Raw genomic sequence first — 26,373 nt, forward strand, 5'->3', positions numbered from 1 at the left:
AATTTGGGGGGTCTGGAGGGAAGCACAGGGGAGAAGGTGATTCCCCCAGCGTCTGTGTGTGGCCCAGCCCTGGTCTGGGTGCCTTAAAGTCCCCCAGGGCAATTCTGTGATGACAGTTGGTGTTGACCCACATTCTGACCACGACACGGACCCATTTTCTGAATCCAGCTTGCAACCTCATATGCAGCTGATCCAGAGCAGGCATTGGATACATGCTTTTTAGCTGAAGAAAAATTAACTTTCTTAGCAGAGGTTTCCCACTTAAGGAACAGCTCTTGTTCCAATCTGAAAAATGTAAGTCTAGAAGGACGCAGCCCATGCTCAGAACTGCTCAGTTCCCAGAGTTAGATGAACTGGGTTCCTAGGCCAGGGATCTGGCGCCCCACCTTGGTCCTTCTCTCCTCCTGGTGACGTTCCAGGTGTAGCCAGCATGTTCCCAACAGCCAGGTGGCATGCAGTCACGTTTAGTAAATTATACTCTCTTAACATTTATTAGACAGTTTAACCATATTCAAGATCATCGGAGGCCTGGTTAGATTTCTAATTAGAGATGGTTTCAGGTTCTTTTCTCACATAACTTTATTATCTCTCTTGAAAGACAATCCCTCAGCTATAGAAAAGCAAAATTGTACATAATTTTGTTGGCAGAGAAAGATAATGGAATGTATTGTTGCATTTTCCTAAAGTCCGCTTATTCACCGAAAATAAAATCCTGAAGTGCGTGCTGTTGCAGGTGGTGCCCCATCTGCCTTCCAGCCGTTCTGCTTCTGTTCACTGTCACAATATGCAGCACATACCCAGTGCTTTCGCAGACCGGCCTCCAGGGCTCTTGCTGATCTTGCCTTGGCGCAGGCCCCTCCCGCCTGCTGGCCACCCACCCCAGGCCTCACTGCTCTCCTTCCTATCTCCCACTCTAGTCATTGCCTTTCTTGGCGCTCATTTTTGGCTTGTTCTTATCTCTCTTTCCTCTTCTGTCTTTTCTGTGCGCTGTCTCCCAGCCCAGGCCTCCATTTCTGGTCTCCGGATTCACAAATCCCAGTTACATCCTTGACATCACTCCACAGTGACTTTATGAGAAGCAGAACTGCACTCTCGGTTCCCTGTCTCCGTGTCCCTCTTGTCTTACGTGTTGTTAGAAACAACTAGGTGTGGTGTTCTCAGTTCCCTCTTCCCGGCGCCCCGCCTCCTCCTTCGCGCCCCGCCTCCTCCTTCGCGCCCCGCCTCCTCCTTCGCGCCCCGCCTCCTCCTTCGCTCCTCGCTCCTCGCTCCTCCCTCGCTCCTGCACCAGGTCCAGGAGGCGCAGACCTCTGGGTTTCTCAGCCCCATCCTGTCGTATCCCATCCCGCTTCCCACTGCTGCCCTGGCCATGTCCCCTTGCCCCTCTGCTCCAGGGCGCTCCCCAGGGCGGCTGACTCCCCTCTCTCTGCACTCTAGTCCCTTCCTGAAAAGGCTCATAGTAGTGGTTTCTTTCATTGTACTTTTATTATGCCTTTAGGTTCATGGTTACAAGAAACTCAAACTATTTTTTGTTTTTTTTGTGGGAGTGTAAATTAGTTCATTACGACAGTATGGCAGTTCCTCAAAGATCTAGAACCAGAAATACCATTTGACCTAGCAATCCCATTATTGGGTATATACCCAAAGAATTATAAATCATTCTACTATAAACTCATGCACACGTATGTTTATTGAAACACTATTCACAATAGCAAAGACTTGGAACCAACCCAAATGCCCATCAGCAATAGACTGGATAAAGAAAATGTGGCACATATACACCATGGAATACTAAGAAACTCAAACTTTTTATTGTTGCGACATAAGTGATACTGTTATAACCATCTAGAATATCCTTTTTAAAAATTTTGTAATTGTGGTCACACTTCAGTTTTATTTAAGAAACTTGCCTCTCTGGGAGGGAATGCTTCTCGATGCTGCCAGCCTTGGTTTGTGATTTGACCTTTAAATGAGGTGCTCGGGGCTTTGGGCTCCTCTCAGGAATGTGTAGCCCTCTGACTCCATTCATTCCTTCCCCTTCCAGGCTTTGGAATGGATCCATGACAATGGCGAGTTCTACCTTTCCACACACACCTCCACGGGCTCCAGTATACAGCACACCCAGGAGCTCCTGAAAGAGCACGAGGAGTTCCAGATAACTGCAAAGGTGGGTTCAGAGTGTACTTTGTATAGTGGCCTCTAAGTCGAAAGCGAGTCTTCAAAAATATCATAAAGAAATACCTCATGAGATTGGAGAAAAGGATGACCCAGTGGGCTGTTCCACATTAACTGGAGGATGCTTCCTCCTTCCGTTCACGTGTGTCCCTCCGTGTCCTCCACCTCCTCCCTTCATCTGTGTCCTTTGTCCCTCTGATGTCTGTGAATACGGCCATCTCTCTCCTTTTCTTCCTTGTCCTTCCCATTATTCCCTTCTACACTTTCCCCTTCCTGTTTACTTCTCTAAGATGTTTTCTGAGGACTTGCTATTTTTATGAAACACTATTTGGTGTCCCCAAGTTGACCTTTATGTATTCTTGGGGTGTTTTCTTTCCTACACCTGGGGGTGTTTCACCGTCTTTAGATGGTGAAAACTGTTACAGTCGTGTTGCTCACGCTCAGTTTAGTCTGCAGTTGTCTGTGTTTTATGGTTGGCAGAGTCTGTGTCATCGCCTCTGTTAGTGCTTGTTCAGAGGTGTCTAAAACTTGAGGCATTTTCATTTTTCTCCTGAAAATAAAAATAAAATTATGAAATCGAATTATCTTTATGGCATATGCCATATGTGTGAGTAAATATGGCTTTTTGAGGAAAAATATAAGAATCTGCATATTGACCTGAATGTTGTCCCAATTAAGGCTTATACCTGCAGAGGCTGAGTCCTTCCAAGAACTCACAACAGTTTTGAGGCTCTTTTCAAGTCACCATTACAACCTGTGGGGTTGTTGTTTTTCAGAGTCTGAGTATACGTCCTTTGTAGTATTTTCTGAAGTGCCTCTATTGTTGATGACAGATTTCGAGTTTTTGGAAAAATCTGACAATTATTTCAAATGTATAAGAGTGGGAAATAAATGATAAGTGGGATAATATTTTTGGTTAAAAAGAAGTGTTTCTATAAAGTAGCAAGATTGGTTATCTCCTGTGGCCCCTACCCTGGCTTTGAAAACATAACAGGAATTTTTCAATCATGTAGAGAGAGGACAGCTACTTTGTATTATATTTATTTGTCCATGTTTATGTTTTCTGTTACTGTTACTGACTCCTCCTGCTCTTCTTTGCCACTCTCTGCTCCTGGTCCCCAAAGCTCTCCTTTCCCTCGGCCCTGAGGTGCTGGGCTCTCTCCTTTTCCACGGCTCCTATCCTGGAGGCTCACACAGGCAAGCAGGGCTGCAGAGAGACCAGGCATGGGGGGCGCAGCAAGAAGACCCGGCCCAGGGTGGGGGTGTGGTGAGCACTGGGGGAGGGCAGGGCGCAGGACCAGGGGACAGTAGCTGCCCCCAGAGGCACAATGAGCTCTAAGGAGGGCCGCCCCACCCTCCCCTGCAGGGAGGGATCATGGCTTTTCCTCCTCCACATACACACCTGGCTGGACAGTTTTCACTTTTTGTTAATATTTAGATATTACATAATAGTTATGCACATTATATGATCCGTATTTAGGGGCGTGTGTGTGTCTGTGTGTGTGTTAGACATGGGATCTTGCTCTGTTACCCAGGCTGGAATACATAATAGTTATGCACATTATATGATCTGTATTTAGGGGCGTGTGTGTGTCTGTGTGTGTGTGAGACATGGGATCTTGCTCTGTTACCCAGGCTGGAATACATAATAGTTATGCACATTATATGATCCGTATTTAGGGGTGTGTGTGTGTCTGTGTGTGTGTTAGACATGGGAACTTGCTCTGTTACCCAGGCTGGAATGCAGTGGCACCATAATGGCTCAGTGCATCCTCAAACTTCTGAGCTCAAGGGATCGTCTTCAAACTCCTGAGCTCAAGGGAGGCTGAGGTGGGAGGATCGCTTGAGGCCAGGAGTTTGAGACCAGCTTGGGCAAGATGACAAGATCCTGTCTCTACAAAAAGAATTTTTTTTAATTAGTTGGGCATGGTGGTGTGTGCGCCTAAAGTCCCAAGCTATGTCTGCTTATTTGAATATTGTTTGATTATAAAGGTATTAAGAAAATGCCTAACATCACATACCACACTCAAAGCTAGATTTAAGATTTGCCATCTTTCACCTCTGCTCCACTCTGCAGGCCATTGTGTATGGCCAGACAGCCTGCTCACTGCCCAGCTCCAGGGGCCATGCATGGGGGATGTGATGTACACATGACTATTTGGAATTGAGTAACATGGTGGCCTGCTCCACTAATAAAGTGTATATGAAAGAATTTTTCCATTCCTGAATACTCCTTTTCCTCAAGTTTGATGTGTGGTTATTGAAAGATTGGGCAATGACAGGCTTATTTTTATTCTTGTATTTTATAAGAAATGTCTAAAATTGTGAGTGATATATGACCTTTCTGATCCTCAGATATGTAGAACTGTTTCTTTTGTTGGGTTTATTGAATTGGTTATACCAGGAGGAACTGGTAGATTTTGAAAAGAACACCCCTCACCTTTCCTTTTCTTAGCAATCTTTTTCTTTGGTTTCTGACTGCCTTTCCCTTAATCAGAAAACACCTGCTTTGGTGTTTGGAGATGTCCTTTGATTTTTCATCATGAGCTGAGGCTCCCTCACTTGCCTTCTGTCACCCGATCTTAGAATCTTCTAAGAAACCATTTTGCTTTTACTGTATAGAGAATTCTTAGCTCTGAAAGGAAAGTCTTTCAGTGCACTTGTTACAATGTTATAACATTTTTAGTGTTGATGGAAATGAAGCTGGAAGGCTAAACAAGAGTCTCCCATCCCCGGCTCGCTGAGACTCGGCTCGGTCCCTTTGCAGCTCTCAGTGCAGTCATTTCTCCACGGGTCTTGCAGGCACCACCTGCATCCAGGTTGTGGGTGTTTATTTAAGAGAGATTTCTGTCCTCACTCCAAACCTAGTGACGTAGGCTCTCTTGGAGTGAGGCCTGCGGATGAGCATTTGAACAGCTCACCACTTGATTTTTGCACACACTGAGGTCCGGAAGCCATTGCCTTACTGACGCCACAGCCTTCTTCCCATAGGGCTTCCTGTGGTCCTGATCACCAGCGTCCGCAATGCCAAATGCCTTACTTTGTTAGAAAGTGTCTAACACCATTGAATTTCTGTCTAAGAAAATGATGAGCAAAGCTCTCTTGAGCTTGTGGACTTAAGACTTCAATTTGCTTTTATTTTTCTCCAGTTCCTCGATTATGCCTACAGATGAAGTTGTTCAGTTAAAATGTTTATGTGCTTTTTAAGCACTGTAACGATCTCTAGAGATAACAAATAGAATAAGAATGAAAATCCTTATAATATCTCACTTTAAAAGATGTAAGAATTTTTTTTAATGATGTTTTCCAAGGTAAATGGCTTTGGAAAAAAAATTAAGTTGGATTTATATCTCACCTTGATACCGAGATAAATACCAGAAGAAGATTTAAATATCAGCAGTGGTACCTAATAGTACCAGAAGAAATAACAGGATATTTTTTATATCCTCGTATGGAGAAATTTGTCTAAATGACACAAAATCCAAACCATGAAAGAAAAGGTTAATAAATTCACCTACACAAAAAAATGTAAAACTTTACACAAGACAGTCCACCATAAGGAACATCTAAAGTTAAAAATGAAATAGAGAAGATATATAGGCAGCTCATATCACAAAGGACTGATTTGCCAGTAAGAAAGAACTTTTACAAATCAATAAGGAAAAAAAAGACCAAGAAAATGGACAAAAGATATTAAACATGTGTCATAGCAAGGGAATAAATGGCCTTCACCATGAGATCATCAACTTTACTTAATATAAGAAAAGCGTACATCAAAACCACACTGAGTTCATTTCACCCAGTGGATTAGCCGAGATCAAAAAGGTGGACCCCATGCTGCGTGGACGAGGCTCCGTTGCTGGGGGAGTGGAGCAGGGCAGCCCCTCAGAGGCCTCCGGTGGCATCTTCCTGCCCCCTCGCACTCCTGCCTGCTCACACTGCACTTCCTGTCTGCCCCAGCAGTTCCAGGTCTCACAATGTGTGTTACGGCAGCAGCACTCAGGCACGTGTCTAACCACCGTTCATGCAACTGATGGATTTCTTGCATTGTTGCCGTGGTAGACGGAATTTGGAAACAACACGGAGACCTATTGGTGGAGAGACGTTAACTTACGTGCATCCACACAGTTCACATCCATATAGTGAAATATTACCCAGCTCTACCTAAACACAGGCGAGGACTTTAGTTCTGATCAGGAAGGACAACTAGGATGTGTTCAGTAGAAAATGCTAATACAGAGCAGTGTGTGTTGTATGCAAGTACACGTGTAAGAAATATGAGAGAGAAAAATACTTATATACATTTGCGCACTTGCTTGTACATGCACATAAAATGTCTCTGAAGTGATAGCAAGAAGCTGGTGATTGGAACTGGTGACAGTGGAAGGTGGGGTGAGAAGAGTTTTTACTTTGTATCTTTTTTATCTTTGGAATTTTGAATCCTGTAAATGTATTTTAAAAATACCAATGCAAGTAAAAATATACTGAGATATTTTTAAAGTTCATAGGTTAGCAGATTTATGGTACTTAGTTTTTATCACACCATTCAGTTGCTCAATAATTCTTGTTTAATTTTGGCAAGCTGCATTATCTTTTTATCTTCACTTCTGTGTCCCCATCACTTAAAACACTCAATAGCTTTCTTAACCCCTTAAAGATAGACATACAGGTAGTTTACAGTGCCCTCCACAGATGGCCCTTGTGGCAATGTAAGAGATGTTAGTGAAACAAGCAAAGATTTCTGGGCTGTGAAGGTGACGTTCTCACAGGAGAAGGACAGACGACGATTGTAAAAAATCACTTGCACCCTCTGTCAGAAGGCCATACATGCTATGGGAAGCAGCAGAGCAGAAGAATAGGCAGGGAGGCAAGCTGCAGTTTAAGGGGGTCCAGGGAGGGCCCGCTAAGAGAGTGGCGTTTATTTGAGTAGAGACATGAAGGAGCCATAGGGATATCTGGGGGAGTGGCTTTCCAGGCAGGAGCACCAGTGCAGAGGCCCCAAGGAGGGTGCTGGCCTGGAGGGGTGAGTTGGTGAGCCACAGCTGGGGGACGGGGGTGCTGTTGGGTGGCTAGGGGCTGGCTGGAGTGTTGGGGTTATTTGTGTAGAGTCTGGAGGATCTTGACAGCTGACTTCACAGGTTACCCAGTGAATTATGGCTTAGAACTTTGATTTTACAAGCTAAGATCATTTATCTGGGTTTTGAACTCCGACCTTCTTTCTTTTGGGGATTTTTAAAGTCAGTTTCCTGAATATGTGTTAAAAAGATTTTCTAGTTAAAGCTTAATGGAGAATAGCAGGTTCCATAGAAGAGGAGTAACTCACTTATTTGAAAACACTATAACAAAGGAAGCCTAATAGTAATAACCATCGAAATGGATGTGAAGAGAGAGAGCTGTTGAGAAGTCAGAGTTGAGTGAGGTTGCCAAATGGTATATATAACTTGTTGTATGGTTGTCTGTGTATCTCTGTGAAAAATAATAAACTATGCTTAACTTAATGAAAGATCTTTTCTGTGTACATACAAAATAGAATAATTTTAGAGAGAGCTCTCAAACAGGGAAACAAAATTTACAGTACCTCTATATAGATGATTTCCTGACTAGTGAATTTTCCTTCACATTTTCTGAGAGTTAAAGCAATCAACACGACACAGAGGAGCTTCATGAGGAATTTTGTTGAGTGCCTGCTGTGGGGACAGCCGTGGCCACACATGCTTCAGGAAAACCAAAAAGTCAGATGACTGCTTGCCCCGAAAGAGCTGTGGGTCCAGTTGGGCACAAAGAGTAAACATGCATAGAGCGAGGAGCTGTCTTTGCTCAGCGGCTTTGAGGAGAGTAGCAGCATTGTGAAGACCGCGTTCTTCGCATACATTCCTCCATGCATCCATTCTACACATTTTTACTAAGCACCTCCTAGATGAAGACGTTGCTGAAAAATAGTCTAAGTTTATTCTTTGAGGTCATAAAAATGCCATTCGTTGTAGCAGAGCTGAGGAGAGATAGCTGGTCAGGAATCCGGGAGATGGAGTGGGTGGACCTGGGGCTTTGGTCTCAGTTTCTACCATCAGCCGGTTTTCCTGTTCAGAGCTCAGAGTTGGAGTCAAGTCGCCACTGTGTTTGAGGTTTCTGGCAGTCGGATTCATTTGCCTCACAATACTTTCCTGTTGTTTTTTGCAGCAAACCAAAGAGAGAGTGAAGCTATTGATACAGCTGGCTGATGGCTTTTGTGAAAAAGGGCATGCCCATGCGGCAGAGATAAAAAAATGTGTTACTGCTGTGGATAAGAGGTACAGAGATTTCTCTCTGCGGATGGAGAAGTACAGGACCTCTTTGGAAAAAGCCCTGGGGATTTCTTCAGATTCCAACAAATCGGTAAATGGCCTTGTGCAAACTGAATAAATTATGGTCTTCTTCCTAACGCCCTCTCTGCTGATTTAATTAACTGAGTTCATTGGCTCTGTTATTCCACAGAGTAAAAGTCTCCAGCTAGATATCATTCCAGCCAGTATCCCTGGCTCAGAGGTGAAACTTCGAGATGCTGCTCATGAACTTAATGAAGAGAAGCGGAAATCTGCCCGCAGGAAAGAGTAAGCCAGTCTTTCAGAATCTACCAGGATTCACTGGAAAAGTGAAGAGAATGTCATTTGGACAGACATGCTTCTGTGTGTGCTTTGAAGTCACATGGCACCCAGGCTTTTTGTTGCTCTGGGTGGACTTAGTTGTGTCAGCACAGACTTCGCTGCGTTCACTGTCCTCTTATCACCTGGTTCAGAAACAGCATCTAGTTTTTATCCCTGTGCCTGTGTTTCATTTGGAGTTGATGAATTGTCATTAATAGATAGTGACACTAAGGAGAGGAAATTAATAGTTTTTATCACGCCTAAAACAAATTTAGTTGTGTAAAAGTTGCCAGTTAGTAAACTCTATATAAATAAAAAAGAGTGCTCTAATCCAGTGGTTCTTAATTGGCAGTTTTGCCCCCAATGTGAGGGGACACTTTGGTTGTCACAGTGGGGAGGGGGAGGGAGTGCTGTTGGCCTCTAGTGGGAAGCTGCTGAGCACTCTCCAGTGCAGAGGGCAGCCCCACAGCAGAGTTACCTGGCCCCAGATGTCCACAGTGCCAGGTTGAGAAACCCTGATCTGTCGGTACCTCAGTAAAGTGTGTGCAGAAATCTTTTTTTCCCCTTTGAATTAGCGGGTGGATACTGTTCTATTTGTGATTCACCTCTCCAAAATGATCAATCTAAGACTAATACTTTTAGACCCACTCTGTTATTTCATAAATCCATAAAAGTAGATAGTGAAGTAAGCTGCACCCTGACTGTACTCCTCACTGTCTTCCTCTCTTTAAGGTTCATAATGGCTGAGCTCATTCAAACTGAAAAGGCTTATGTAAGAGACCTCCGGGAATGTATGGATGTAAGTAAGTTTTTTTTTTTTTTTTTTGCTTGTTTATTTAGATTGAGCATAAGCTTGCTATTTTATTCTTACCTGTTGGTAGTCCTTAGAATAATCACAATTTTTTTCTGTCATTTTTTTAAATGTAAAGTATGCTTCAGCAGCCGGTTTCATGTTTCTGCACTTCTGTAGAGTTCTAGGTTTGTTTTTCACTCATTACAGAGATGATACAGCATTAATCCTCTCATTCTGTTTATCACATGATGGCCTGGCTAACACTCTCTTTGTATAGAATTGTACAGCAGCTTCAGAGAAATGTGCCTACTAATTATGACTGGCAACTAATACTCAGTGGTATCAGGAATATTGGTTATACTTGTGGAGTAGGTTAATTCCAAAATTTGAAGCTGGGAATAATTTTAGAGTTGAAAAGTATAGGAACTCCTCTCAAGTATTAACAGCAACTGAGGGCCTTTTTTAGAAGGGTTTTTTATGTTTTGTAAAAGGGTCCAGTCCTTAGTTATACTTTCACTTATACATTAACTCTGTGTGTTTACAGATGTCAGAAACAGCTGTTTCTTGAAAATATGGTGATTATTTTTGTCTAATCCCTGTTTCCCTCTCGGCTAGACGTACCTGTGGGAAATGACCAGTGGCGTGGAAGAGATTCCACCTGGCATTGTAAACAAAGAACTCATCATCTTCGGAAACATGCAAGAAATCTACGAATTTCATAATAAGTGAGTGGCTTTTTCTTTGGGAGCAGTTACGCTTGAAATCCATGTGCTGAAGTTTCATCACAAGAAATGAACCATTCCCATTGAATTAAGCAGATTTCAGTGATTTTGTTTCCATTTGAATGAAGCCTATCAGTCTTTCTCCAAAAAGACTGACATTCTAGAAATTCTTTTAATACAGACTCAACTTTATGTTTGTACTTATCTTCTACAGAAATAAGATCAGGAAAACTATGAAAATATTTTTATAGGAAGCTTAATTTCTCTGAAGCCGAGCCGTCAGGTGCCCTGTGACTTACTTCTGAGGGTTGAGAGACAGTGGAGCCCCCTTGGGACTGCAGGCCTATGCTGTTTGCTCTCTTATAGTAAGAGAAAGGAACTGAAGAAGCAACAGAAGTGTATTCTGACCAAAATAAAATGCATTTTCCTTTGGCCACAGGAGGTACATGATTCTCTTTTAATATTGTTAAAGCAGCGGCAGCAGAAGCTCCTTTAGGTGGCCTGTGATGAGATGATGCTGGGGTCAGCAAGAGCGCAGTCCCCTCACCCCTCAGCAGAAGGCAGAAAAGACCAAATGGGTCTTCAGCCAAATATTTACGTCTCCGAAGTATATGCTCAGTGAACACACTAGCACTTGCCCAGAAATAAATTTGTTAGAAAGCATTTGAAGGCGAAACTGGCTAGCTGTTTGAAAGTCACAATAACTTACCCTAGTTAAGAGCTACATGTTTTGTTCATTCTTTAGGGGGCACAGATTTCTCAGTTTCTGGCATATCTCACTAGTAAAATGTTTTAAAACACCTTTGTAATATGATACCATTTTTATTCTTTGCAGCATATTCCTAAAGGAGCTGGAAAAATATGAACAGTTGCCAGAGGATGTTGGACATTGTTTTGTTACTTGGGTAATGAAACCTCAACCATTTGTTCTCTCCCAGCTATTAGGTGACGTTGAAGGAAGTTAGGAGGGATGGTCTTCATTTCCTTTAAGTCACCATCTTCTGCTCATATCCATGCTTGCGGAGAAATAGACTTTACCTCAAAGAATTGCATACTTCAACTAATTGTTTTTGTGGAGTGAGTTTTTTTATTGGCCCTGGTGATGGTTTGAAATAGAATATTTAGTGTGCCAGGTCTCCGCTTGACCCTGGGGATTTGCTGATAGGTGAGTTCCCAGTCCTTCTGGGGGATCGTCTAGTCTAGAGGGGAGGCAGACAGGTGAACGTGCGGTCATGCTGTCCAAAGCCCACAGCCAGCTCTGCACGCGTGACTGTGGAAAGAGAGGACTGGTGCTCAGCCCGACGTGTCGGGGTCGGGGAGGCTGCTGCAGCTGCATGCTGTCAGAACGATGTGTTTCTTATTTCAGTAGCTTTCTTTTTAAAATAGAGTCTCTTCAACTCGAGGCTTAAATTTCCGTTATCCATACTGCTTCTTTTCTATATGAAAGTTTATCATGCGTTGACTTGTTATGATTTAAATGAGATCTTTTTTTTTTTGGCTTACAGGCAGACAAGTTTCAGATGTATGTCACATATTGCAAAAATAAGCCTGATTCTACTCAGCTGATATTGGAACATGCAGGGTCCTATTTTGACGTAAGTAATAGATTCCTAAAGAGACCATAATTTTCCAAGTTGTGTACATAAAATGCGGCATTACTCATAACTTTCACCTAATTGATAGTACAATGTTTTCATTTTTGTCTATCATTTTTGTCTATCATTTTGTCTATCATGTCTATTGGGCTATTCTTCTATTGTCTTCTGTTTTTAAAAGATCCTACACAAATACTGGAAGCCTTATATCTGTAAGGAACTCAGATTGTAATATATAGATGTATGTTTGTGTGTGTGTATATGTTATTATTTATATTCAGTCATTTATAATATCATTACTATTTATATTCAATACATTTTTTCACCTGTAATACTGTATACAGAAGGCATAAACTATTAAGCTTCTTTTCCCCCTCAGTAAAACAAAAATAAATGTGAATCTTTTTATTTTTCCTATTTTAATTTCATGATGTTACGAATTTTCAAAAACAACCTACCAGTAAAGTTTTACAAATAGTGCCATAACAACTAGGATAATTAGAAGGTTAACTAATTGTGTTCTCATTGGAGTAAACGTAGATACAGGTCATCTGTGTTTTGAAAGCTGTTGCAGCGGCTTATTCAGCACAAAAGAGATGGAGCTTTAGAACGTGATACACAGAGTGCTTTCTGGGTTTCCAGAACTTGGTCAAATATGTGCCAATACATTTTGATTGAAGGATAAGGTGCTATTGAATAGTGTGCATAGTTTGGTGCATAAGGTTGTGAGGATGTTGGACTTGTTTTCTGTCTTTACACTTGTGCATGGACTGGTGGGATCATCAGCTCTTATGTGAAAGTCTGGGGAAGTAGAATAAACTTTTCAGTTTCTATCTTTGAGATGAAGCCCTACCTGTAGATGACCCTGTTTTAATTGTCATTCTCCTGACCATTACATTACACATTACACATCACTGCCTTTGTTAATAGGAAGCCTTCTCCCAGGCCAAAGTGGCCTTTTCTTGTTAATATTTCACATGATTCTAGGTCTTTGCCATCAGACAAAATTCAGCACCTGTATATGGAGTTAGAAATATTTTAGTATTAAGTATTTCACTTAAACAGTGAGGGCACATAGCACATTTAATGTTTGGAATCAAAGCCATTTTAGAAACCCTTATGCCCCAGCAAAATAAACTATCATCAGAGTGAACAGGCAACCAACAGAATGGGAGGAAATTTTTGCAGTCTAGCCATCTGACAAAGGGCTAACATCCAGAATCTACAATGAACTTAAACAAATTTACAAGAAAAAAAAAAAACCTATCAAAAAGTGGGCGAAGGATATGAACAGACACTTTTCAAAAGAAGACATTTATGCAGCCAACAAACATATGAAAAACTCATCATCACTGGTCATTAGAGAATGCAGATCAACCACAATGAGATACTATCTCACACCAGTTAGAATGGCGATCATTAAAAAGTCAGGAAACAACAGATGGTGGTGAGGCTGTGGAGAAATAGGAATGCTTTTACACTGTTGGTGGGAGTGTAAATTAGTTCAACCATTGTGGAAGACAGTGTGGCGATTCCTCAAGGATCTAGAACCAGAAATGCCATTTAACCCAGCAGTCCCATTACTGGGTATACACCCAAAGGATTATAAATCATTCTACTATAAAGACACATGCACACACGTTTATTGCGGCACTGTTCACAATAGCAAAGAGTTGGAACCAACCCAAATGCCCATCAATGATAGACTGGATAAAGAAAATGTGGCACATATACACCATGGAATACTATGCAATCATAAAAAAGGATGAGTTTGGGCCGGGCACAGCGGCTCACGCCTGTAATCCCAGCACTTTGGGAGGCCAAGGCAGGTGGATCATGAGGTCAGGAGATCGACACCATCCTGGCTAACATGGTGAAACCCCGTCACTACTAAAAATACAAAAAAAATTAGCCGAGCGTGGTGGCGGGCACCTGTATCCCAGCTACTTGGGAGGCTGAGGCAGGAGAATGGCATAAACCTGGGAGGCGGAGCTTGCAGTGAACTGAGATCACGCCACTGCATTCCAGTCTGGGCGACAGAGCGAGACTCCATCTCAAAAAGAAAGAAAAAAAAAAAAAAAGGATGGGTTCATGTTCTTTGCAGGGACATAGATGAAGCTGGAAACCATCATTCTCAGCAAACTAACTCAAGAACAGAAAACCAAACACCACATGTTCTTACTCATAAGTGGGAGTTGAATAATGAGAACACATTACACAGGGAGGGGAACATCACACACTGGGGCCTGTCGGGGGGTGGGGGTCTAGGAGAGGGATAGCATTAGAAGAAATACCTAATGTACACAACGGGTTGATGGGTGCAGCAAACCACCATGGCACATGTACACCTGTGTAAGAAACCTGCACATTCTGCACATGTATCCCAGAACTTAAAAAGAAACCCTTATGCCCTAAAACATGTCTTCAAGAATAAGAGAAATCATGCCTGAGAGATTTCACAATTTATATGCTTTCAGTATTCCTTGTACAGTTGGTTTATTTTTTTAGAGGCTTTCTTCTACAGCTTCCTCTCTTCTCCAGGCTATCTGATAACCTTTGATTATGCTTCTTACCAGTAACAAGCATTATTGAACATCTGTATGGTGCTCATTTAACTCTAAGCTCTGTCTTAGGTGCTAGTGTAAAGTGGTGAGTAGCACAGACAGGGCCTGTCTTCACAGCAAGGAATACAGCAAGGAATACAACCAGTTGTAAAGGAATACAACCTTTACATGCAATACAGATCATTGCATGTAAAGGACATAATTACAAAATGCAAAGTGCAAATCATGGCATTAAAAGTGCAATTGAACAGTAAGGTAGATCCTCCTGCTCCAAAGTACCCCTTCCTCTCCAGAAGTAACATTTTAGAAGCAAAGAAGTTTGTGTTAATAATTTAAAAGCCTCTTAGGAAAAGGAAACTTTATTATTTCAGCATGATTAAACAGTTGTCAGGTACAGTATTTGGAAAAGTAATGTGTTTTATGGCCATGATTTAATAGTGTAGCCCTATGATAACTCTTGTTTCTTGTTTGGTTTTAATACAGGAGATACAGCAGCGACATGGATTAGCCAATTCCATTTCTTCCTACCTTATTAAACCAGTTCAGCGAATAACGAAGTATCAGCTCCTTTTAAAAGTATGTATAATGCGTCTTCAGCCTGTGAAATTTTATGAATTATGTATTATTTTGACATTTACTATATATTTATATAATTACCCTGAATTTTTTGAAACACCTAGTCAATTAATTTTACTTTTTAATTCATTAGTATTTATTGACCTGCCTAATTTCTCATTGCAGGAGTTAAATGAGAGTGTGTGTCATGATTATGCGTCTGAACTGCACTGACTGACCCTAAACATAAAATGAGAAATCATCAGTTCTTGATATTTTAGTACCCTTAGTTCCCAGCTGTGGCTTGCTGACTGCGGGCCAGGCATGGTGCACTTTGGTACGCTCTGCATATGTTAACCTCCCAACAATGCTAGTCTGCAGGCATGGAAACTAGCCTCAGACTGTAAGGAGTGTGCCCAGAATCACCACTCAAACACGTTAACAGGCTCAGCTCAGAACACAGATCTGGCTGATGCCCAGGGCTTCCACTGAAGCCACGGAGAACCCATGCCCAGGAGGCTTCCTCTGTCTTGTTGCTTGTCCCTGATGTCACACCCCTCGCGGCACACCTTGTCCATACAGACCGCAAGTATTGGAGTCAGGCTGACCTCTGCTTTTTATTAGTTGTGAGTGACTATAGTTAAAATCACATTTAAGAAAACAATAGTGATTAGTCTTGACAATAGAAAGGTAAACAAAACTTAGAATTTGTGCTAAGAGTTGTCACAAAATGTATTTTATTTTTATATTATATATCATCAATACACATTTTCTTGACTACCTAAAAATTGACAGATTTTGTCTGGTAATGTTCAGCATACCATTTTCTCAGCTGGTGAATGTTATTAAGCATTAAAATGTAGAAACATGCATTCATCCCAGTGATGGTATTCTATGAATCCTGCCATGTTCCAGGGACTGCCCTAGGCTCGACAACGGGAAGTTATTATGTAATTTGTCTAGATATAAAAGAAATTTAGAAGATGGAGTTACAAATGCTGGAACTCTTCTTTACCCTTTTTGTTAGCAAGAAAAATCTACAGACAGTAATAAGTAGCTACATCGTTTTGTGAAAGTGATACTATTATGGGATTTTTCAATTGGAAAAGCTCTCCTGTACTTTTATATCAAAATGCCGTTAAGTGATTATGTGACCATTCCCGCAGAAATATATAGTTACTATGAATGCAAAATAAGTCAGGAGGCTAATTTGTTCATATTCAAATTTGTCCTTTGCTTTCTAATTCTACAAAGGCAGTTTACCTTTCAGTGTCCTCAAGATGTAAGGATTTTGTTTTCAGCATGTAGTTCTGCTAAACTGGTGCTTAAATTTGTAAACCTCGCCTTACTCTGCCAGAGGTTCTTCAGGAGAACAGTGATAAGCTCTCTTGAGCTCCCCAACAAGGAAGGTTTTCTGCCAGTTGTCAGTTAGTAGGCTCAGTACACTGCATTTGTGAGCAGTGTTTGCCATGCTGCTTAGAATCACAGGTAAACACCATCTGGTGATGAGGGAAGGTGCCCATCAGGCAGCTGAGTTCCTCTCAAGTAACCACTGGGAGACCAGTGCTGGCTGCAGTGTCATACCTCTCTTTTGTTGACTACCAAGACACAAAACACTGCTATTGCTATTACTGACTGGTAGTAATTATTAATACACCAATAAGAAAGTATCTTGGCTGTAATCCCAGCACTTTGGGAGGCCGAGGCAGGCGGATCACGACATCAGGAGATGGAGACCATCCTGGCTAACACGGTGAAACCCCGTCTCTACTAAAAATTCAAAAATACTAGCCGGGCATGGTGGCGGGCGCCTGTAGTCCCAGCTGCTCCGGAGGCTGAGGCAGGAGAATGGCATGAACCTGGGAGGCAGAGCTTGCAGTGAGCCGAGATCACGCCATTGCACTCCAGCCTGGGCGACAGAGCAAGACTCCGCCTAAAAAAAAAAAAAAAAAAAAAAAGGATCTTGGAGCCCACCAGAAGGTGAACTTACTGTTCCTGTTATCATTCATTTAATAACGGATGTTTCTCTAAATGGCTTTGCAATGTAATCACACACATAGGGCTCCCCAGAGAGATGTAATTCAACCATTAGAGCTTTTCTAAACATCCTACGCAAAAAGGAAATGCATTTGACTGTAAGTAACTCATGCGGTGTTACTGTTTCTGCTGCGTGGATTGGCTGGTCCGGTTTAGATGGGACATTGCATTCATAGCTCCAAGGTGCAGAGTCACGCTGGGATTGTGTGGTAAACGCACAGTTGGACCTGACATGGCAGTCAGCTGTAACCAGTAGCTGATGGTGTGTTACATAATAATTAAATATTTCTATTTATCTTTTTTTTTTTTTTTTTTTTTTTTTTTTTTTTTTTTTTTTTTTTGAGACAGGGTCTTGCTCTGTCCCCCAGGCTGGAGTGCAGTGGCACAATCTTGGCTCACTGCAGCCTCCACCTCCCAGGTTCATGTGATTCTCCTCCCTCAGTCTCCCAAGTAGCTGGGATTACAGGTGCATGCCACCATGCCCAGCTAATTTTTTTTTTTTAAGTAGAGATGGAGTTTTACCATGTTGGCCAGGCTGGTCTCGAACTCCTGACCTCAAGTGATTCACCCACCTCAGCCTCCCGAAGTGCTGGGATTACAGGCATGAGCCACCACACCCGGCCTCTGTTTATCATTTTTGAGGCTTGATTGTTAACAGGTATACTAATTTCATCTTAAACTGTGAATACATCTGGCTTACTCTGATTAGAACAGGACAAACCCTGCCATCCATTGAATAAAGAGGTAGTAGTTTATTTCTATGAGAACATATGCCCAGTTGACCACATTCTGTTTTTATCTTGAAAGCCATGGGCTTTCATAAACTGTTTCTGCCAAGGTCTTATTGGCAGAGCATTCTGCAGTCTTTACCTAGTTTCTGTTGTTTATCTTTGCAGGAGCTGCTGACGTGCTGTGAGGAAGGAAAGGGAGAGATTAAAGATGGCCTGGAGGTGATGCTCAGCGTGCCGAAGCGAGCCAATGATGCCATGCACCTCAGCATGCTGGAAGGTAAAGGACCCTCCATACCCCAGTGTGCATCTATGCAGTTTCTAATGACACTGTTTGTAAATGGATTTCCTGAACCCTAAAAATCCCCGCTTTATGTCTCTATGTTAGTGGTTAAGAACATTTCTTAAAGAATCAGTGTCATTGCTTTTCTTGAGGACCACATAAAATGTTTCTATACTCATTGAAAGCCTTTTCTGGTCCCTTCACTGGAAAACAGCCTCTCCACACTCTGGACTCCAATAGCACTTTGTGTCGCTTGCTGCAGGCCACCTGTTCTCCCTGTTAGATGGATGGGTAGGTGGGTGTATGGGTGGATCAAACCCCAGGACTGTAAAATCCTTAAAAGAATGTGTTGCTTCCCCACCTCTGTATCCATTGCATCACTTGCTAGAGCCTGGAACATAGTAGGCACCAGATATTTCCTTGTGTAACATGGTAAAGAGAAAATTAGATAAATATGTTTCAAAATTAGAGCAATTATAATTTCCATAAATGCCTCTGTTTAAGAAAGCTCTTCCTGTTGTGCAAAGCTTGGTTCTTGCCAGGCTACACAGAATAAGTTTTAATCCTGCCCCAAATGCTTTTGCTAGCCTGTGTCTTTATGGGTAACACTGAACATAGGTGCCACTGTGGGTAATAAGACCCAAAACTCAGAGGCCAAGCAAAACAGATTTTTCTTTCTCTGATATAAAATGCTGATCTGGTATGGCCGCCCTTCATGATGTCATCCAGGACCCAGGCTGTGTTCCAGCTAGTTTCTCTCCATTCTAGTTGTTTTTCTGGCTGGCTAGGTCCAGGGTGTTTCAAGACCATGCCAACATTCCATTTAGCAGGAAGTGGGGAAGAAAGTCAGGGAGGAAACTCCAGATGGGCAGACACTAGCAGTAGTACCCGCTACTTTGCTCACTTGCCCAGAGCGTAGGTACCTGAGCTGCTTTTAACTGTTCCTGGGGCTGGGGGATGGAGTGCTTATTTTGAGCAGCCCTAGTGGGAGCTTCTACTATGAGAGTAAAAAGAGAGTGGAAGTCAGGAGGTAATGGGCAGCCTCTGCCCTAGGGCTGGCTTTACTAAGCCCTGGTGGCTTCATAACCAGGTGATAAAGCAGGCCACTTCCATGAAGAGAGGAGCAGTAGTGAAGTCCAGAGCACGAATGATTCACATGCAGACTGTCACATTCAGAGGAGGGAGGGTGCACCAAGCATGGGCAGCCAGGGACTTCTCCAAGAAGCAAGACCAGGACAGGTCCTTGAAGAAAGCCTGGACCTGAGCAGAGTGTCTGGGAAGGATGCTCTGGGCTGAGGAAGCAGAGAGAATCAAGACGGAGGCTGGGAAGTAGGTGGGGGCTTAGAGGAGAGTCGGAACTGTTTCAGAGGAGGAGCTTTCGGTGGTGGGATGCTGCAGGAGAGGGCTGAAGAGAAGTAGAGGGTGGAACCAGATCTCAACTGTTGCAGAGGCCCACCAGAGGGATAGAACTCAAAGAATAAAGCCATGAGGAATCGCAAAATGTTTTTGAACAAAGGAAAATATATGTAAAGTGGTGTGTTAGGAAGAATTATCCTCTGTAGGATGGGTCAGTGGCGTCGAGTCAGGATCAGATGGGAAACTCTTATCTAGGGTTGGCCGATGGGCATTTTTAAAATTGTTGAAAATACTAATAATGCTTTCTTGTGCATCAGTTTTTATTTTTCTTTTAAATTGATTTGCCTCCCTTTTTTCATGTTGTAGGGTTTGATGAAAACATTGAGTCTCAGGGAGAACTCATCCTACAGGAATCCTTCCAAGTGTGGGACCCAAAAACCTTAATTCGAAAGGGTCGAGAACGGCATCTCTTCCTTTTTGAAATGTCCTTAGTATTTAGTAAAGAAGTGAAAGATTCCAGTGGGAGAAGCAAGTACCTTTATAAAAGCAAATTGTTTGTAAGTATAGGCGTTCAGAATTGTAAGTCTAAAGGTAACACAATTGCAGTCTTTTTGTAGGTAGAGAAGAATTGTTCATTGTCTTCAGTTTAACCTCCCAATCTGTCCTGAAATGTTCAAGTCTGAATTGTGGTAGGGTTTTCATCTTCAGTGAAATTATTTCCCACCCTCAAGTCCACTAGAGGGTGCTCTGGAGTTTATAGACTTAGGAAACTTGCTCTTCTTAAATCCTGTATCATATAACTGCAGGATAAGAAAACATTTCATAAGTGAAATCATTTATCTCCGGTGTGCTTAACTAGCTTTATAAATAAAATAATCATATCTATGACTAAGTTCTTATTATAATTAATTTTTCAACCATAAACATTGGAGTATATGGAAACAGCCTTACTGGGTGGCTCACATTTAAAAATAAATGTATGAAATATAAGTGCATGAGTAAATTTATGGTTGTTTATAACAGTGAAATGTCATTATTAGAGAAAATATACTTAAGCCAAAGTACAGTCTGAAAGATCCACAGCCCCAGCTATGTGGAGACAGCTGCCCCTGAGTGCTTGGCAGATCCGGTGATGCATTTTAATTCGTAACCTGTCATTGTACTTCTTGGCAAGAGCAACATACCTGCTGCCATTTTGTGACCACTGGCTAGCCTTACCAGCCTCCCCAAGGGCAGCATCGTCTCTGGATCCAGTGTACTTCCATCTAACTTAGTGGGCCGTTTCTCAGAGGCTTATTCATGCAGGGTCGCTGGGCAGGGCCAGGCAGAAGGGACGATTGGGTTGCACTAAGGAGGAATCATCATCAAGAAAAGAATAGAAAATGCCAAGAAGGTGGGTTTCTTTACAGCAGATCTCTTATAAATACTGGTAGATGTTTGCAATTTGGACAACTTACACATCATACTTTTTGTGATGTCCATATATAATGAAATTCTTCAGGTAATAAAATGTCCCCGAGTATGGAAATCATCTGAGTAATAATCTGGAATTCACAGGTTCCAAATGATGGTTTTCATACCATTTTGTTTGGCTTGTGTTCTGTTTGAGATCGTCTTTTGGATCACAGCTTGCCTGACATCATTTTAGGTCACATTCTGACTGGAAAGAAAAAAATGCAACATTGCTGGCTAGTAATTTCATTAGCTGGCTTTAATCTCTCTTTAGAGACCAAGCTCATCTGTTTTAGCAGCCAATACATCTTCACTTAATTTATCTTTTAGAAGTTAAGATTCCCTCAGAGGCTACCTCTGGAGCTCTGGATGATGAATCACTTCCTTTGCTGGGGTGGAGAATGCATCAGGGGGACCTTGACTGTGGGGGAGGGGCTGAAGCTATTGACCTTTCTCTGCATGCTTCCATGTTCTGCATATATTACAGAGGGATTTTGCCTCTTAGCCGTTAAAATTATTGATGAAATACTAAAAGCTAATGCTATTGATAAAGAAATTGGAGAATAAGCTGTTAAAACATCATTTGCCCTCTGGGAAGCTGTGTCATTAATACTGAAGAGAACATGGTGGCAGCCCTTTTGCAACCAGGAAAGACTCATTTTGCAGTTTGTTGCTTGTAAGATTGCAAATAGTCGAATCTTGATTGTCAGATAGTAGGATTTTCACATGTTGGTTTCCTTCCCCTGAATTTTTTGCTCGTTGACCTGCACTGGGGTCTCCAGTAAGAGACGCTCACAGGAAGCGAAGGATGAAACCAGTCACCTGTAGCCTAAGAACACAATGTCCTCATTATAACTCACATGACAGCTGAGATCACTAGTGACGTTCTTATAACCTAACATGGCCACAAGTAACCAAAACCTGTTTCCTTGGTCTCTGTTCTGCATCCTTCTAGAATTTTACTGTCACCTAATTATATAATTGTCTTTTTATCCAGACCTCAGAGTTGGGTGTCACAGAACATGTTGAAGGAGACCCTTGCAAATTTGCACTGTGGGTGGGGAGAACACCAACTTCAGATAATAAAATTGTCCTTAAGGTACGTTCATTTGAAGCTGGGAATGTGCTGTTTGAAACATTTACTGTGGCCATCCATGCTTGCTTTTCCGTTGTTTTCATATTATTATTATTTGTTGTTGTTGTTTGTGTGTGTGTGTTCTATTCAGATTGGTGACTACCACAAAAAGAATAGTGGAATAAATTCAGTTTGGTGTTCTGGTGATGAAACAATTTGAGTTAAACTTTCACTTGACTCCTGAAAGGGCAAATGAAGCAAGGTCTTTTTATATTTTTCCCATTCTTCCAGTCTTTGAATTCATTGACTCTATAAGAGATGCAGGAAGTCAGGGTACAGGAGGAATGAGATACTGACCAAAAACTCTGATTGCGCACTTGACCTGTTTCGAAAGGAAAAAGTCACCTGGTGCGTGTTTGAGGACCTGCGACAGGAAGTCGAGGCCAACCGTACCCACAGTCCTTACAGAGTCCTCAGCTCTGTGGCTTAATAGTTTGGAGACGGAGGGAAAGAGGAATGATTATTAGTGACAGGGTTTGATACTGTTATGATTTAAAATTCAAAACCACTAGGGATGCTTTAGGGTATATAGTCTTTGGGGGAGGAAAATATCTTGGAATATTTGATTTGAACTCTGTTTTGATTATACTAACCTCTCCTGGGAATGGTCAAGAGCTCTAAGGTTGTCTTATGTATTTTCCTCCTCTGTGTTTGAGAAAATACAGATGGAACTTTTGGAGCCATCTGGAAATGCCATCAGCGGCTTTGGGATGTTTGGGGGACGGTGGAGCTAAGGCTTATCGAATATTGGGAGATGAGCCAGAGTGTAATGGGACTCTGGTGTATGAACCTGCATGTCACCCCTTGTGTCTCTTGCATGCTTTTTCATCTCTTTGGTATTTTCAGTGACTGTGAGTTACTCCCCTGTATGTCAGCCTTCTAGAGCCTGTTCTTCAGTGGAAGCCATTGTGTTCATAAGATTTTTGTTCATATGTGATAGTGGGTTGTTTTGCAGTGAATATGTGATTATCAGCCCAATGTGCTCTGGCTAGTACTGGCATAAAGCCCTATATGATATCAGTTGCACCGATAGCTAAATTTAAATAACTGTATTTTCTTCCTAAGGTCTAACATTTTAAGGTATACTCAAAACCTGGAAACTTGCAACTTATATAAACCGCTTATCCAGACTAGCTACAGTAGTAGATGCCAAAAGGTGCTTCCAAAAAATAGTGACAGATACTTTAGCCAGATCTGGACTTTCATTTAGGATGTCGTAAATGCTCATGGTACAGTTGACAAATAAGACTCTTCTTATTTGTCAGGCTTCGCCAGGTACAAGTTTTCTAGGGAATTTTGGGTAATACCTTTCTGACTTCCAAGGAGAAAGTAAAGGAAACGATGTTCTCATTAATTTCAGGGATTGCTGCATGGTGTTGGTGTAGAGAGGCAGGCGATGGTGATGGTGGGAATGGTAGTGTAATGATGATGTAGGTGGAGGTGGTGGAGACGCTGTGGTGGTGGTGATGGCGGTGAAAGTTTAGATGGCAGTGAGGGTGGAGATGGTGGTGGTATGGATTTTGGTGGTCACGGTGGTATAGATGGTGGTGAGAGGGTAAGGGTGTAGAGGAAGGTAGTGGTATAGATTTGGTGATGGGGGTATGGGTACAGATGGTGGCAGTGGTGTAGATGGTGGTGATGAGGGTATAGATGGTGGTGGCATAGACTTTGGTGGTGATGGTGGTGAGGTTGTAGATGGAGGTCATCGTGTAGAATTTGGTGGCAGTGGTAGTACAGGCGGTGGTAGTGCTAGTGCAGGCAGTGGTAGTGTAGATGGTGGTGAGGGTTTAGGTGTTGATGGTGAGGGTACAGATTTTGTTGGTCTAGATGGTGTGGTGAGAGCGTAGATGGAGATACTTTAGATTTTAATGGTAGTAAGGTTGGAGATGGTGGTGAGGGTGCAGGTTGTGGTGAGGGTACAGGTTGTGGTGGTGAAGGTGCAGGTTGTGGTGGGTTGTGAGGGTGCAGGTTGTGGTGAGGGTACAGGTTGTGGTGGTGAGGGCATAGGTTGTGAGGGTGCAGGTTGTGGTGAGGGTGCAGGTTGTGGTGGTGAGGGTTGTAGGTTGTGGTGAGGGTGCAGGTTGTGGTGAGGGTGCAGGTTGTGGTGAGGGTGCAGGTTGTGGTGAGGGTGTAGGTTGTGGTGAGGGTACAGGTGGTGGTGAGGGTGCAGGTTGTGGTGAGGGTGTAGGTTGTGGTGGTGAGGGTGTAGGTTGTGGTGGTGAGGGTGTAGGTTGTGGTGAGGGTGCAGCTTGTGAGGGTGCAGGTTGTGGTGAGGGTGTAGGTTGTGAGGGTGTAGGTTGTGATGAGGGTGTAGGTTGTGGTGAGGGTGTAGGTTGTGGTGAGGGTGTAGGTTGTGGTGAGGGTGCAGGTTGTGGTGAGGGTGCAGGTGGTGGTGGTGAGGGTGTAGGTGGTGGTGGTGAGGGTGCAGGTTGTGGTGAGGGTGCAGGTTGTGAGGGTGCAGGTTGTGGTGGTGAGGGTGTAGGTTGTGGTGGTGAGGGTGCAGGTTGTGAGGGTGAGGGTGTAGGTTGTGGTGGTGAGGGTGCAGGTGGTGGTGAGGGTGCAGGTGGTGGTGAGGGTGCAGGTGGTGGTGAGGGTGTAGGTTGTGGTGAGGGTGTAGGTTGTGGTGAGGGTGCAGGTGGTGGTGAGGGTGCAGGTGGTGGTGGTGAGGGTGTAGGTTGTGGTGAGGGTGTAGGTTGTGGTGGTGAGGGTGCAGGTTGTGAGGGTGCAGGTGGTGGTGAGGGTGCAGGTGGTGGTGAGGGTGCAGGTGGTGGTGAGGGTGCAGGTGGTGGTGAGGGTGCAGGTGGTGGTGGTGAGGGTGTAGGTGGTGGTGGTGAGGGTGCAGGTTGTGAGGGTGTAGGTTGTGGTGAGGGTACAGGTGGTGAGGGTGCAGGTTGTGGTGAGGGTGTAGGTTGTGGTGAGGGTGTAGGTTGTGGTGGTGAGGGTGTAGGTTGTGGTGAGGGTGCAGCTTGTGAGGGTGCAGGTTGTGGTGGTGAGGGTGTAGGCAGTGGTAGAAGTAGAGGTATCGTGCTGCTGGTGTGTGTGCTTATGGTGGTAGAGAACGTGATGGGAATGGTGGTAGTGGCGATGATGATGTCCTCATAGTTGTAAAACAAAATTTTGGTTATTTTCACTTCTCTAGTCTGGAAAAGAGAATTTTATTTTTAAGTCTTAAGCAGATTGCGACTACCCAGATTATGAAATGAACTATCCCCTCTCTTAGCCAGGTAGGACCTTGGTATTTAGTACTTTACCTCAGTTACCTTTCTCTTACTATTTCTGAAAAACTGACATCTTTTTTCCTCGTTTAATTTCTTTAAGGTTAGGAGAATTACTCTCTAAGTGTAACGATCAATTCATATGAGAATTTTCTTTATTTCTGAACCATATTAACAGTTTTCCTCAGTTGTTTCCAAACTCTGCCAGTTGTTCTTTTGCAGGTACTTCTCTTTAGTTGACCTTCCAAATACTTTTATCAGGCATTTAAATTCCAACCAATTTGTAGTTTTTAGAAAAGTTTCTTCTCCCGAGTCCCTTACTTTCCCCCCGCTTTCCCCGGTCACCCTGCCTCCTTCCTGCCCCCTCGCCAGAAGACATTGGTTTTCCTGCTGTCCTATGTCACTCCGGAGAAGAGGGAGCAAGAGGCTGCCTTTACCCATCATTTCTTTTCCCTGTCACTACCTGTTAGTAATGTTAAAGACAGGTCCTCTGGTTAAAACGGTTTCTGTAGAAAGAGGATGATCAATTTTAATTTCCTTTCCCAACATGGGCTTTGATTTTCTGTTTTCAAAAACAGGATACACAGTGAGAAATGCTGGGCGCTCCCCACTTTGTGACCTCATCTACGATGAGTTATGACGGGTTAATTATAACTGCAGGGAATTATGCTTATATCATAGGAGATTGATATTTTCTGTGAGGAAATTAGAAAGCTGTTAGGAAGGCCCAGAACATGCAGAAAGAAAAAAAAAACCTCCTTTGAGGCAGAGTTAAAAAAAAAAAAAAAGTCTGGATCAAGTGATGTCGTGCGTGCTCAGTCTGCAGGTGCTTGCTGACAATCTAGTCTGTGTGGTTCTCAGAGGACATTTCTTGAGAGTTGTAATGGAGTCAAGGTGAATCTGCCATCGGGGATTGGCAGTTGGTGAGCTTGGAACATTGGGCACATTTCTTCTGTCCACACCTCAGTTGCTCATTTATAAGACGGGGCTGCAGGAGTCTCCCACCCGCAGAGTCCTTATGGGAGTGGATGACAGCATGCGAGAAGCCCTCGGCTAGGCACAGGGGGCTGGAGGTGGTGGCAGCTGCGCCGCTGTTCCCTGAGTCCAGCAAAGGAGGCCGCAAGGCTGTGGGGATTTGTTCAGTTT

At 43.0% G+C, this 26,373-nt stretch overlaps 1 protein-coding gene across 11 annotated transcripts in view, besides 1 other annotated feature; it reads left to right on the plus strand.

Annotated features, from left to right (window-relative positions):
- Positions 1 to 26,373, plus strand: part of TRIO (trio Rho guanine nucleotide exchange factor) — a 366,863-nt gene that overhangs the window by 235,747 nt on the left and 104,743 nt on the right. For all 11 annotated transcript variants that reach the window (NR_134469.2, XM_047417679.1, NM_007118.4 and 8 more), the window contains 11 exons: positions 2,042 to 2,164; positions 8,350 to 8,544; positions 8,644 to 8,759; positions 9,525 to 9,591; positions 10,201 to 10,310; positions 11,143 to 11,212; positions 11,813 to 11,902; positions 14,950 to 15,042; positions 17,955 to 18,066; positions 19,792 to 19,982; positions 21,875 to 21,976. Coding sequence is in view for 10 of the 11 variants with exons in the window: in XM_047417679.1 (XP_047273635.1) it covers positions 2,042 to 2,164; positions 8,350 to 8,544; positions 8,644 to 8,759; positions 9,525 to 9,591; positions 10,201 to 10,310; positions 11,143 to 11,212; positions 11,813 to 11,902; positions 14,950 to 15,042; positions 17,955 to 18,066; positions 19,792 to 19,982; positions 21,875 to 21,976 (1,269 nt within the window). In the remaining variant the exon portion in view is untranslated. The remainder of the gene's footprint in view (positions 1 to 2,041; positions 2,165 to 8,349; positions 8,545 to 8,643; positions 8,760 to 9,524; positions 9,592 to 10,200; positions 10,311 to 11,142; positions 11,213 to 11,812; positions 11,903 to 14,949; positions 15,043 to 17,954; positions 18,067 to 19,791; positions 19,983 to 21,874; positions 21,977 to 26,373) is intronic.
- Positions 20,715 to 21,914: an enhancer, noted in NCBI's record as "BRD4-independent group 4 enhancer chr5:14399912-14401111 (GRCh37/hg19 assembly coordinates)". NCBI's record gives its function as "activates an origin of replication core promoter dependent on BRD2, P300/CBP, MED14 and CDK7 cofactors, and independent of BRD4, by STARR-seq in HCT116 cells {active_cell/tissue: HCT116}" and the evidence as "EXISTENCE:reporter gene assay evidence [ECO:0000049][PMID:35650434]".

This window comes from Homo sapiens, chromosome 5 (genome assembly GCF_000001405.40).
Source record: "Homo sapiens chromosome 5, GRCh38.p14 Primary Assembly".
NCBI lineage: Eukaryota > Metazoa > Chordata > Mammalia > Primates > Hominidae > Homo > Homo sapiens.